General features: G+C 36.7%; 1 protein-coding gene across 9 annotated transcripts in view; it reads left to right on the plus strand.

Moving 5' to 3' along the window:
• QKI (QKI, KH domain containing RNA binding) overlaps window positions 1-13,450 on the plus strand; it is a 163,875-nt gene that overhangs the window by 55,003 nt on the left and 95,422 nt on the right. For all 9 annotated transcript variants that reach the window (NM_206855.3, NM_206854.3, NM_206853.3 and 6 more), the window contains exon 3: window positions 9,060-9,176. In NM_206855.3, the coding sequence (NP_996737.1) occupies window positions 9,060-9,176 (117 nt within the window). The remainder of the gene's footprint in view (window positions 1-9,059; window positions 9,177-13,450) is intronic.

Consider the following 13,450-nt stretch of genomic DNA (forward strand, 5'->3'; position numbering starts at 1 on the left):
GTGGGGAAGTGAAATTTAATGTAATCTGTGACTTACATAAACTGGTTAAGTGATGATGTTGTAGAAAAAAGTAGGAAGAGCTTATTGGAGATGAACATAAGGCCAGGCATGTTGATAGATTTTCTGTTATGTTTCTTTTTTATTCAGATCCTCATTTCAACATTGTTACACCATACTACCTTATGTCAATTCTAGACCTCTTTAGATTAAAAAGCAACTGCTCAAAAAGTGCCAGTAGACTTGTGTTTGTTAAGGACTGACAAGATAATGCAGGCCAGCTGAGCAATTCCAGGAAAATAGGATACAATAGGAAAAAAAATAACTGAACACATCAGAGATTGTGAATCAGCAAGATTGTGAAGAATTACTAGTTCATGGTCTTCAGGAGGTGAGATGATCAAGGATATAACCGTGTTTTGGGGGATCTCTTTTTCTGCTGAGCACGTTTGCAGAATCTGGAGAGGACAGACGAAAGGCTGAGCTTTGGGGGATAGCGTTTGGAGTCTATAATTTGTCTATGTGAACCTCCCTTGCCATGCCCAGCCTAGTCTTCGCTTGGGGGTAGGGACACTGATGGATACGTACTTTAGGAGTAAGAATGAACTAGGAGGTTGCAGGTCCTCACAGAGACAGTATCTCAGCTCAAAATTGTCTATCTCAGTAAGTGAAATTGCATTGATCCTGGGTTGCTAGTAATAGTAGGTGCCTGGCAGAAGCTGATATGTATCTTTCCTGGAGGAAGATATTATTGTCTTTGGCCTTATATTATTTTTATAAGCTATTTAGTTAAGTGTATTGTCTGACACACACTAGAAAATAAGCACACAAGGAGACAAGATGACATTAACAAAAATCTGAAGAAACAGTCTGAAAAACAATACAAAATCCACATACTCTAGATTTTAGAATTTCAGACCCAGACTTTATAAGATCTGTAAGTTTTCAATGTGGAAGGAGACAGAAGAAAAGGAAGAGAAATGGAAGCTATAAAAGAAAAACTAAGCCAGAAAATTATTTACCTACTATTAACAGGTGGGTTTAACAGAAGATTAGAAGCATTTGAAGAGAGAATTAGTAAACTGGAAGATAGCTCAGAAGAAAATTTTCAGCATGGAGATGCAGAGGGATGGAAAAAAGTAGAAGGGAATGTGAAAAGTAAAAGGAATATAGTGAGAAAATTTAATATATGTAGTTGTAGTATTAGAAGAAGAGGAGAGGTGGAATGGGACAGAAGCAGAGTTTGAGGGAAGTGTGTTTCAGAACTATAAAACCAAAGAAAGAAATAAAGTCACAGATTTGTGAAATTGTGGTTTTCTTTATATTTATCATACTTACTGATAAACATGATAAAGGAGACCACACCTTGGCAAGTGATAATAAAACAACTGAAAAGTAATGATGAGAAAATCTTAAAGCAGCTAGAAGAGAGAAAAGATCACCTTCAAAGGAGCAGCGGGAAGACTTAGTTCACTTCCATTAGTAACAGTGGAATGAATCCAGGAGATGGTGTATAAAGAATCTTTAAGGTGCCCTTCAAAAATAAGACATTTTCAGATAAGGAAAAATGGAGAGAGTTCATTACTAGAAGACGTTCACTAAAGGAAATGCTGAAGGTTGTTTTTCAGGCAGAAGAATGATGATTATTTGAAAAGTTGAAGATGCATAAAGGAATAAAGAGCAACAAAAATGGTAAAATTGTTGATAAACCTAAATGCATATTTGTACAAAGTGAAAATAATGGCCTGTTGAGTTTAAAAGATACAGAATTTGAAAAACAAAGGCATATAAACTGGATTGAGGATAAATATTACACTTTCTGAGGTCCTTGTATTTGTATGGGAAAAGGGTAAAAGTACAAATGAACATTAATGTTTGATAAGTCAAGGAAGCATGTTGTAAATACTAGGGTGAACAAGCATATAACTTCCAAACTAATAGAAGAAGAGAACGAAGAAAATACGTTCATATTTTCTTCGTCCGCCCACATCCAGGAAAAAGAGGCAAGAAAGAAAAGAAAATAAGTAGAGGACATAGAAAACACTTAGTAAAAAGATTTAGTAAACCATGTAGTATAAATTGGCTGTTCCTGTTAAAATTCAATGAAGAAACAACTCATTTAGATGATTTTTACAGGAGTCCTGTTTAAAATAAGGATAACAAAAGTTTGAAGGTAATAGATTGGATCAAGAAAAGACACATAAGAAAATAAATTCTATCTATATTAGTATCAGTGTAAGCTTAATGGCAAAAGGCATCTCTAGAGATAATAAAGAAGGCCACTTCATAATGACAGAAAGATATACACTTGACCCTTAAACAACATGGGGCTGAGGGGCACTGACTCCCTTTGCGGTAAAAAATCCACGTATAACTTTTAACTACCTCCAAACGTAACTACTGATAGCCTACTGTCGACTGGAAGCCTTACCGATAACATAAACAGTTGATCAACACATTTTGTATGTTACATGTATTAACACTGTATTCTTACAATAAAATAAGCCATTGAGAAGAAAATGTTTTAAAGAAATCATAAGGAAGAAAAAATACGTTTATTATTCATTAAGTGGAAGTAGATCATAAAGGTCTTCATCCTGGTGGTCTTTACATGGAGTAGGCTGAGGAAGAGGAGGAAGATTCAGGTTTGGTCTTACTGTCTCAAGGGTGGCAGAGGCAGAAGGAGGTGATGGAGGTGGGAGGGGTGTCATACTTGGTGTAATATTTGTGGAAAAATGTTCTGTAAGTAGACCCACATAGTTCAGACCTATTGTTTAAGGGTTGGTTGTAATTGCCTTTACACATATACAGCAAAAATAGAAGTAAAAGGCGAAACAGGTAAAATTTAATCACACCAGACTTTGCATTCTTTTTAAGCACCTATGGAATATTTACAAAAATTGACCATATGCTATGCTGAAAAGCAAGTTTGAACAAATATTAAGGATGGCTATTACATATAACATGTTTGCTGATTACACTGTAGGAAGCTAAAAATCAAAACTACAGGAAATTATATGTTGAAATGAGCATAATATATTTAAATATTTAGTAGATGTCAAATTACCTTGACTTTGAATGAAAATGAAACTGCTCCCTATCTGAATTTGTGGGATACAACTAAAACCAGCTTAGAGGTATATGTAAAGCTTTAGATGTATATGTTAGAAAAGAAGGAATACAATAAGCAAAATATTCATTTCAAAAAATTGGAAAAAGAACAGCAGATTAAACGAAGGAAGGGAAAAAGAACAGCAGATTAAACGAAGGAAGTAGAAGGAAGGAAATAAATGAAGAGTAGAAATCAATTAAAGACAAACACAAAATGAAGTAATTCAATATATCAGCTAGCTATCTCTACATTATAATAAACTACTCCAAAATCTTAAGTAAACCACTTGTTGAGCTCCTTAGTCCTTCTTCCAGTCAGCTGTAAGGTCAGTCAGGTAGTTCTACTTCTGGGAGTTGCGTGGTTGCAGATATTGATGATGACTGGGTCACTGTCTTTCATTCCCCAACAAGTTTTAGTCCAAGCTTGTTTACATGGGGGAAAGGGGCTCTAAGAGAGTAGAACCACGTAAGACTAACACTGAGGCATATCATTCTCACCACTACGTTGTATTGGCCAAAGCAAGTCACAATGCTAGCCTAGATTCAGGAGGTGGGAGGAGATGCAGATTCCCTTTGCAGATGGCATGGACACAATGAGGGGCAGAGAATTATGGTCATTTTTGAAATCAGTCTACCTCAGTCAACAAAAGCAGGTTCTTTTAAAACACTTTTGAAGACAGATCAAGAGAAAGGAAGATACAGGTAACCAGTCAAGAATAAAAAAATGAGACATCGTTTCAGATCTTATTGGTATTAAAAATAAATTAGGCATCTATTTTAAATCAACAAATTTGAAAATTTAGACAAAATGGATACAACTTAAAAATTGACATACGAAGGAATAGAAAGTCTGAATCCATAATTTAAAACTTTCTGTAGTGAAATCTCTAGGCTCAGGTAGCTTCACCAGTGAATTTTATTCATTATTTAAGGAAGAAATAACAGCCATATACAAGCCTATCTGGAGAGTGGAAAAAGGAGGAATACATTCCAACATGTTTTGCTACCAGAATAACCTTGATACCAAAACCTGAGACGTGTATTATGAGAAAGAAAAATTGTGGGCCAGTTCTATTTATGAATGGACATTTCTTAAAAAAAAAAATCACCAGAATGCCAGGAAACAATTTGCTCAAGTTGATTTTGCATTAAATTGGTTTAACATTTGAAGTTGAAATTGAATTTGAAATTAAATTTGAAGTTGAAGTTGGTTAACATTTGCAGTTGAAATCCACTGCAATAACAGAATTAAGGAGAAATGTTGTTTTAATAGATAGTGAAAAATGATAAATTTAGATATCCACTTGTAGTTGGGAACTCTTAGCAAACTAAGAAATAGAAGGGAATTTTAATGTGATAAAGTGTATCTTCAAAAAGTTTAAGATTAAACTTTATGGTGGACTGTTGAAACCTTTATTCTTGAAATTTGGAACAAGTCAAGGATGACACACTTTTATTTGGCTTTGAACTCAAGGTATGCTGACCAGTACTGTAAGGATAGCAAGAAAAAGAAATAAAAATATATGATAGGAAAGGAAAATAGAGAACTGTCATTATTTCCAGGTGATGTGATTGTTTAGCATCCAAAAGAATCTACAAAAGATTTATGAGAGTCAGTAATGAAGAAATGCTGGTTGTAAGGTTGATAGAAAAAAACCCAATTATATGTTCATATACCAGAAACAGAAAATGAAAACTTAAAATTATGATATACGGTAGCAGAAAAAGCCCTGTAAATTTGTAGGAATGAATCTTAACAACAACAAAAGTAAAAACAAGTAAAGGCACAATCAAAAAAGCTCTACATTTTTGAGGCTAGACATGGTGTCTCCAGCCTGTAATCCTAGCTCTTTGGGAGGCTTAGGCACTGGGGTGGAGTGGGGGTGAGGATGGCTTGAGTCCAGGAATTTTGAGATCAGCCTGGGCAACGTAGTGAGACCTGATGTCTACAAAAAAGTTAAAAAAAAAAAAAAAAAAAAGCCAGGCATGGTGAGGCTGAGGTGGGAGGATTGCTTGAGGCCAAGAATTCAAGGCTACAGTGCTCTATGATTGTGCCACTTGCACTTTAGCCTAAACAAAAATAAACTTGACGTTATTGAGAGAGATGAGAGATAACTTAACCAAATGGAGAAATTTTACCATGTTTATGGTTTTTGAAGAGTCTATATTATAATGTGATCTCAGTGAAAATTCTTGCAAGTATTATTTTAGAAATTGATGGACTTATTCTAAAATATGTGGAAATGGAAAGGGCCAGGAATAGCTAAGCCACTCTTGAGGAAGAGCAAGAGAGAAGAACTTGGTGTACCATATAATTTACCATAATTAATACAGTATGATGTTAAAGTAAAGATAAATAAATGGAATAGACTAGAGAGCTCCAAAACAGACCTAAGTACTGTCAGCTGTTTGTATCCTCAGGTTCCACATCTGTGGATTCAACCAACCTAGGATCAAAACTTTTAGGGGAAATATTTAAAATGGTTGCATTTGTACTGAAATATACAAATTTTTTCTTGTCATTATTTCCTAAGCAATGCAGCATAACAGTGATTTACACAGTATTTACATTGTATTAGGTATTTTAAGTAATCTAAAGATGATATAAATTATATTGGAGGTTGTGCATAGGTTATGTGCAAATATGACACCGTTTTATATAAGGGACTTGAGCATCTGTGAATTTTGGTGTTTGTGTGGGGACCTGTAACCAATCCCCCCCACCCCAGATACCAAGGGACGATTGTGTAGATAAATATTTATGACAGTGATGACACTGGAGCAATTGGAAAAGAGTAGTCTTTTCAATAACATTTCTATTCAGTGACATTCGTATATTTAATAACATTTGGATATTCATGTGAGAGAAGAAAAGAAAATTATAACACAGACATCAATTCCTGGTACACTGTAGATGTAAATTCGAAAGACTTAACAATAAAGCTTCTAGAAGATAACACCAGAAGGTATCTTGGTGACCTTAGGGTGGGGAGAGACTTCTTTTAAACAGGACACAGAAAACACTAACCATGAAGATAAGGTTGAAAATTTGAACTGTGTTAAAATTAAAAACTTTCAGTCATCATAAGACACCATTAAAGAGGGAGAAGACGAGCCACAGGATGGGAAAAATACTTGTCAGTTGTGTAACCACAAAGTAGAAATCAATAAGGAAAAGGTAACACAATAGAAAAACACAGGAAACTTCAAATGTCCTTCAAAAAATGCATATCCAAATGGCCAACAAATGTGAAAAAAATGCTTAGCTTCATTAGTAGTCAGAGGAATGCTAATTGAAACATTTAATACATACACTAGAATGGTTAAAATATAAAAACACTGATAATAAATATTGGAGAGGAAGTGGATCAAAATAAATTTTTATACTATACGGAGGATAAAAATATGTACAACCATTTTAGAAAATAATTTAACACTATGTACTAAAGTTTTTTTTTTTTTTTTTAAATCATCTTCTTTGTCCTGTAGTCTTTTTTTTCTCAAGGGTCAGTCTCTTGTCCTGCTTCTTTATCTTGTCCTGTCTCTCTCATGATAGAGCCCTTCTTGAACCTTTGGTGAACATTGTTTAAGTGTGAAACAATGAAAATCTGAATTAGGAGCTTGTGTTCATGAACAGAGCTGTCCGCTGCCAACCTTAATTTGGGGTGACCCCCTAAAGTGCTAGTCTTTGAGATGGAAGTCATATAATGGAACACAGAATTCTTTTCGTGGGTTATTTCAATTTTTCTAGAGAAAAAACTAGCCCATTACCTACAAGTCAGAAGCCTGGCCTTTGCTGTTCTGTGGGCAGTGATGGTCGCTTGTTCTGTGTATTAGTTCCACCTTTTCATTCTTGTTTTCTGCAAAACTCAGTGTGTGAGTGTCCAGTCTCTCTGGAGTTCTGTAGGGCAAGTTTGCTGCTGATCACATCTCCTTCTAGAAATGACATTCCAAGCTTAATTAAGAGTAAGAGCCTGAGGTTTTAAGCAAAGGATTTGTATTAGACTTGGTAGGCTATTGTGACTGTATGGCAAACTTTTTACTGGACCTTGTGTATGTATTGTGCTATACACATACATATCTGTACATGCCATCATCACTATAGCTCTGTCAGATAGTATTATCCCCATTCTGTAATTGAGGCTTATTTGATGTGATTTTCAGATTCCTTTTTTTGTTTTGTTTTGTTTTGTTTTTTTTTTTTTGAGACAGAGTCTCGCTTTATTGCCCAGGCTGTAGTGCAGAGGCATGATTTCAGCTCACGGCAACCTCCACCTCCTGGGTTCAACTGATTCTCATGCCTCGGCCACCCAGGTAGCTGGAATTACAAGCATGCACCACCAAGCCTGGCTAAGTTTTGTATTTTTAGTAGAGATGGGGTTTCACCATGTTGGCCAGGCTCGTCTTGAACGCCTGTCCTCAAGTGATCCACCCCGTCTTGGCCTCCCAAAGTGTTGGGATTACAGGTGTGAGCCACTGCGCCTGGCCAATATTCAGATTCCTGATTACTGTTTTCATATTTGAGCTTGGATACCAGCTAGAATCTGTGTGCTCTCAGAGTTTAAGCACATAACCGTAGTATACTACTTGAGTTTATTTAAATTGGAGATGTAGGAAGGTTAAGTTGATGAGTTTCTAAATTGGAAGTACTTTGTTAAAATGGATCATGGTGGGGGTTTAGGTTGGGTAAAGAGGTAAAATTACTATATACTGAAGCACTGGGCAAAGATAAGGGACTTTATCTGAATATAAAGAGCTATTAGCAGATTTCAGAATCTAGGATCTTGAAGAGCTAAATTAAGTGCTTATAGATGAGTCTGTGAGTCTCAACAGAGGGTGAAATAAGATGTATGAAAATCCCCTCGGAGACTTTCTTCGAATGATACAGGCGTACTACCTACCACCTTTCATTTGAGAATCACTTTTCTAAGGTGTGACAATGCAAAATAAGAGCCAGTGGAGTACAGATGATACCAGAAGTACCCAGCTTCTTAAGCCCTGATGGCAGTGGATTTTCTAGCACGTTACTTTTATGTAATGATATACTAAAAGTTGGATAAATGCAAGAAAAAAGTAGAAGACCATATGCATAAGAATCAGTACCTATTTGATTGAATAAGTAAATGAAAACCACCTGTGGAATTTTGTGGAACTGATAGCAAACTCTTATATTTTGGCCTTTATGCAGATAACATGCAAATGAGGAAAATTTACTTTTCACGATTTAGCCCGTTTTTCCTATTGGCTTTAAAGAAATAACTTGTATATATGAATATTAGGAATTTCTGTTGAGGGATGGTAATTTTTTATTTTTTTATTGTACAGTTTTTAATTTATACAATTATTGATATCACTGGCCTATTTAGTGATATTCAGAGTTTAGGTTTCTTATAAGTTAAAGGTAGAAAGGAATATGTACTCTTAAGACACATTTAGTGTAGCCAACCCATAGTTTTCGTAACATATTTCTGAACAGTTGCTTTGGAGAAAGTATAATTTTTCTTAGGTAAATAAAAGAGGACTTTCCCCAAAGGATTTTGGTAGAAAGGGCAGTGCCTAACAATTTCTTCAACACTGTCATGACAAAGAGACAGTTGGACATTTTGTGGAAGGGACTTGTATTCTTGGCTGGCATCTAATATTTTGTCAAACTCTTTAATACTCTCTGTTTTAGGTTATTTGTTGATGGACAGTTGTATCTGTTCTAGCTGTATACTGTTCCCAGTTCATAGTTTGTGTTAATACTTGTGAAAATATAATGCTAAACGATGAGCTATTGTAATTAGACCTGAGACTTAGCAAGAAATTCATAAGGGCTCTAGATTTTATTTCAACTTAGTATTAAAAAGACATTTAACTTCAGTAAGTAAATGTAGATATACTTTATATTTTAAGAGCTGTAAGTTCCAGCAAGTGAATAATGTATAGTGATCCTTTTTTTTTTTTCTCAGTTTAATTTTGTTGGGAGAATCCTTGGACCTAGAGGACTTACAGCCAAACAACTTGAAGCAGAAACCGGATGTAAAATCATGGTCCGAGGCAAAGGCTCAATGAGGGATAAAAAAAAGGTAAGTCCTTGAAAATGGACTAAGTCTTTATGTGAGTAACTTACTATACTTTTACATCGTAATAATAAAATTTCCAGATTTTTTTGTGCTTAAAACACTATATTCCAGGCCGGGCGCGGTGGCTCACGCCTGTAATCCCAGCACTTTGGGAGGCCGAGGCAGGCGGATCGTCTGAGGTCAGGAGTTTGAGACCACCCTAGCCAACATGGTGAAACCCTGTCTTTACTAAAAAAAATACAAAAATTAGCTGGGCGTGGTGGCGGGCGCCTGTAATCCCAGCTACTCAGGAGGCTGAGGCAGGAGAATTGCTTGAACCCGGGAGGCAGAGATTTCAGATTGTGCCACTGCACTCCAGCCTGGGCAACAGGAGTAAAGCTCTGTCTCAAAAACGAACAAACAAACCCACTATGTTCCATGTCAGGAACTTTTAAACTTTTTAAAGGTGTTGTCATGATTTTCCCTTGTTTTTCTTTTTTCTTTGTTTGTTATTTTTGAGACGGAGTCTCGCTATGTCACCCAGGCTGGAGTGCAGTGGTGCAATCTTGGCTCACTGCAGCCTCCGCTTTCTGCATTCAAGTGTTTCTCCTGCCTCAGGCTCCTGAGTAGCTGGGATTACAGGCGCACGCCGCCATGCCCAGCTAATTTTTGTATTTTTAGTAGAGATGGGGTTTCACCATGTTGGTCAGTCTGGTCTCGAACTCCTGACCTCGTGATCCACCCACCTCAGCCTCCCAAAGGTCTGGGATTATAGGCGTGAGCCACCACGCCTGGCGGTTTCCCCTTGTTAATTATCATTTTTTACTTAGCAAATTAAAATATCAGTTCATCATGTTACCTTCCTTTGTCATTTACTTTTGGGAAGCTGCCAGTTTGGAAATTAGTCAGACTGTAATGTGTGTAAAAGTATATAAAAGTTTTGAAAAATCTGAAATTTTTCTTTTGATGAGATTTAAATAAGAATGGTCAAATAACTTTGGATGTATGTCAGATCACTGGGAGAGTTAGAAGACAGAAATCTATTAGAAGGAAGGCTATCACTAGCCATATGAGATACACTTTGGGTTTCATCAACATTTTGTGTTGATTTTACATTTTAAAGTATATTGTTTCTGTTTCTGTGGGTTTTTTTCTCCTGCCATTTCTTCTTTTGCTGGTTTAATTAGTAAAGACCCAACTATCTAAATATTATTGTTAGGAAGATTTTATTTACCTAGTTTGTCTTACCCAGCAATACTGTGAGGCAGGATAGTTTTGAATTTCTATTCTTGTAAAAATTGGCGGATTTAAAAAAATAGATTTTGATGGCCAAAGATTAAAAGTGTTTTAGGAAGGTTTGGTCTGTCTGTCTGTCTGTCTGTCTCTTTCTCTCTCTCTCTCTCTCTTTCTTCCTTCCTTCCTTCCTTTCTTTCCATTGACTTGAAGGGGCTATCTAGGAATAGTGCGTGGTTAGCTGTGTTAGACCAGTACGCTGAATCGCTTTGTGGAACTTACGGAATGAATACCAAACCCACAGGGTATCTGATAAACTTGTTTTCTGAGCCCTCCGCCTCATGTCTTTTAAGCCCTCACATAAGCTGACTGGATCTCATTCATTTTTGCTCCTCATCAATGATTTAGTAGCCAAGAAATTTGGGCAAAAAGTTCTCATAATATTGATTATTTAAAAATCTTATTATAATGTATTCCTTGTCAACTGTGTTTAAAGATATGTTCATGGGAGTCTGTGAGTTCTCCTTGAGCAATTTTAGATGTATTAAATTTTTTTATGAGAATCTTAAAAAAATGTGCATATTTTGAATCAGTTGAGTGATAATCTTTTCAAATGAACGTTGCCATGAAGTTTTGGTTCTCATGTTTGGACTTAGGATTATGTGGTCATTAAGTAATACTAGTTTAATTGCCTATGGACAATGAATGAAGTCTTGACAACTGGCAGATATATAAATCTGTATGAAAAGATTAGTATATATTCATCAGTTAGGCTATTCTGTCAGCCAGTTAACAAAACCCCTTTTTCCCTGCTTCTGAGTTTCTGTGAATTCTGCAGTAATGGCCCCCCACTCAACCTTGCTTACTGTTTCAAGCCCTCACAGACAATGAGCATTAGAGCTTATAACTGTGTGATTATACTGTTGCACTCTTATAAGTGTTTATAATAAAAGTAAAGTCAGAATGGAATGCTTGGCCATTTGGTAAAGAACATGAAAAGAGATGGAAACAAAAAGAAGTATTGATGTAAGTAATAAAGATAGCTCATTGAGATGTATTTCAGGAGTTCAAGAGGAAAAGCCATTTGCTTTAAACTTTTCTACAGAGTTGTCCATGTATATATAGACATGTGTGTATATATATATATGTGTGTGCGTATATATATAATGTGTATATCTATATGTGTGTATATACTGATTGCCTGTTTTACTTTTAACACAAAATGCTACGATGGGAATGGTGTGTGCTGGTCTGAATCCTTCCCTACACTGGTAAACTCAGTGAGAGCCTACCATGGCTATTCTATGGAGTATTAATTTCCTTGGTGTTTGGTGAGTACCTGGCACAGAGTGCAGGCACTTGAAAAAAATACCTGTGAAAGGAGTGACTAGTTCAGGTAATAAATGAAAGGCTTAGGTGTACCTTCCCTCATGTTCCCCGAAAAGGTTGGTTAAATAAAGAAAATTGTAAATGCTATGTACTTCTAATGCTTTGGGGAAGTTAGTACTATATTATTCTAAGCTGCTGGTTTTTAGCAAGTAAGTTAATATGCCACTTTAGTTTTCATTTTCTTGGATTGTTATTATTTCAGCATTATTGATGGGCTCAACAGCATTGATTTAGTGCATAAATACCCAGTGGAATGGTACTAGTTAAGATCATGGAACCAGGGCTTGAAAACTATTATGAACTTCTTGTCTGTACCAGCTATTTTGTAAATGAAGAGACCAAAGCCTTGGGGAGGTTGAGTAATTTGCCAAAGGTCACACGCCAAAATGTGGCAGTCAAATTTGAAACTAGGCTGGGCACAGTGGCTCACACCTGTAATCTCAGCACTTTGGGAGGCTGAGGCAGGAGGATCCCAGGAGTTGAAGACCAACAAGGTCAACATAGTGAGACCCCCATCTCTACAATAAAACTTAAAAAATAATTAGCCAGGTGTGGTGGCGTGCACCTGTAGTCCCAGCTGCTAGGTAGGCTGAGGAGGGAGGATGCTTGAGCCCAGGAGTTGAGGCAACAGTGAGCTATGATTGTGTGCCACTGCACTCCAGCTTGGGTGACAGAACGAGACTCTGTCTCGGGGGAAAAAAGAAAAAGAAACTGAATTCTGAGTTCTATTCTGTGGTACATTATTTTCTAATTATAAACCATTTCTAAGAGTGATAACTTCAGACATACTAGAACAACTTGAATATTGAGTATTAGAAACTTTGACTACCATTTCACACACCACCCAGTACACTTGTGACCCCAGATGTTGTAAGGGTTTCTCCCCACAAACCAAACAAATCTCCAGAAAACACCATCTGAATGTCCTCTAATTCAGTTCAAAACTGGGAATAATGTCACATACCACAGGCTGAGGGCTCAGTCCCCTAAGACTGTCTCCACTTCAGATGCCAGTTACAAGCCCCAGTGGTGACCTGTGCTTTTGACTGACCAGCTGTAAATGTGTTTTTTTGCAAGTCCCTCGTCGGGTTCAATTAATTTGCTAGAGTAGTTCACAGAACTCAGGGAAGCACTTTACTTATTTATTATAAAGGATATTACAAAGGATACCGACGAACAGCAGATGGAAAAGATGCATAGGGCAAGACATGTGGGAAGGGGCTCAGAGCTCCCATCCCTTCTCCAGTGTGCCACCCTCCAGGTGCATCCATGTGTTCAGCTATTTGGAATCTCTCCAAACCCCGTCCTTCTGTTTTTTTGTGGAGGTTTCATTATGTAGGCATGACTGATGTTCATCATTGGCCATTGGTGATCGACTCAACATTCAGCCTTTCTCCCTTCCTTAGAGGTTGGGGAATGAGGCTGAAAGTCTCAGCCCTCTGTATACTTGGTTAGGGTTTCTCTGGAATCAGCCTTGATCTTGAGACTATCCAGGGCCCCCACCCATTTGTCACTTCATTATACAGAAAGACACAAACAGGTTCCAGACCACCACAATAAGGGAACATTGCGATAAAGCTAGTCACACATTTTTTTAGTTTCCTAGTGCATATAAAAGTTATGTTTATACCATACTATAGTCTATTAAATTTGTAACAGCATTATGTCTAAAAAAT

The sequence above is a fragment of the Homo sapiens genome, chromosome 6 (genome assembly GCF_000001405.40).
Source record: "Homo sapiens chromosome 6, GRCh38.p14 Primary Assembly".
Lineage (NCBI taxonomy): Eukaryota > Metazoa > Chordata > Mammalia > Primates > Hominidae > Homo > Homo sapiens.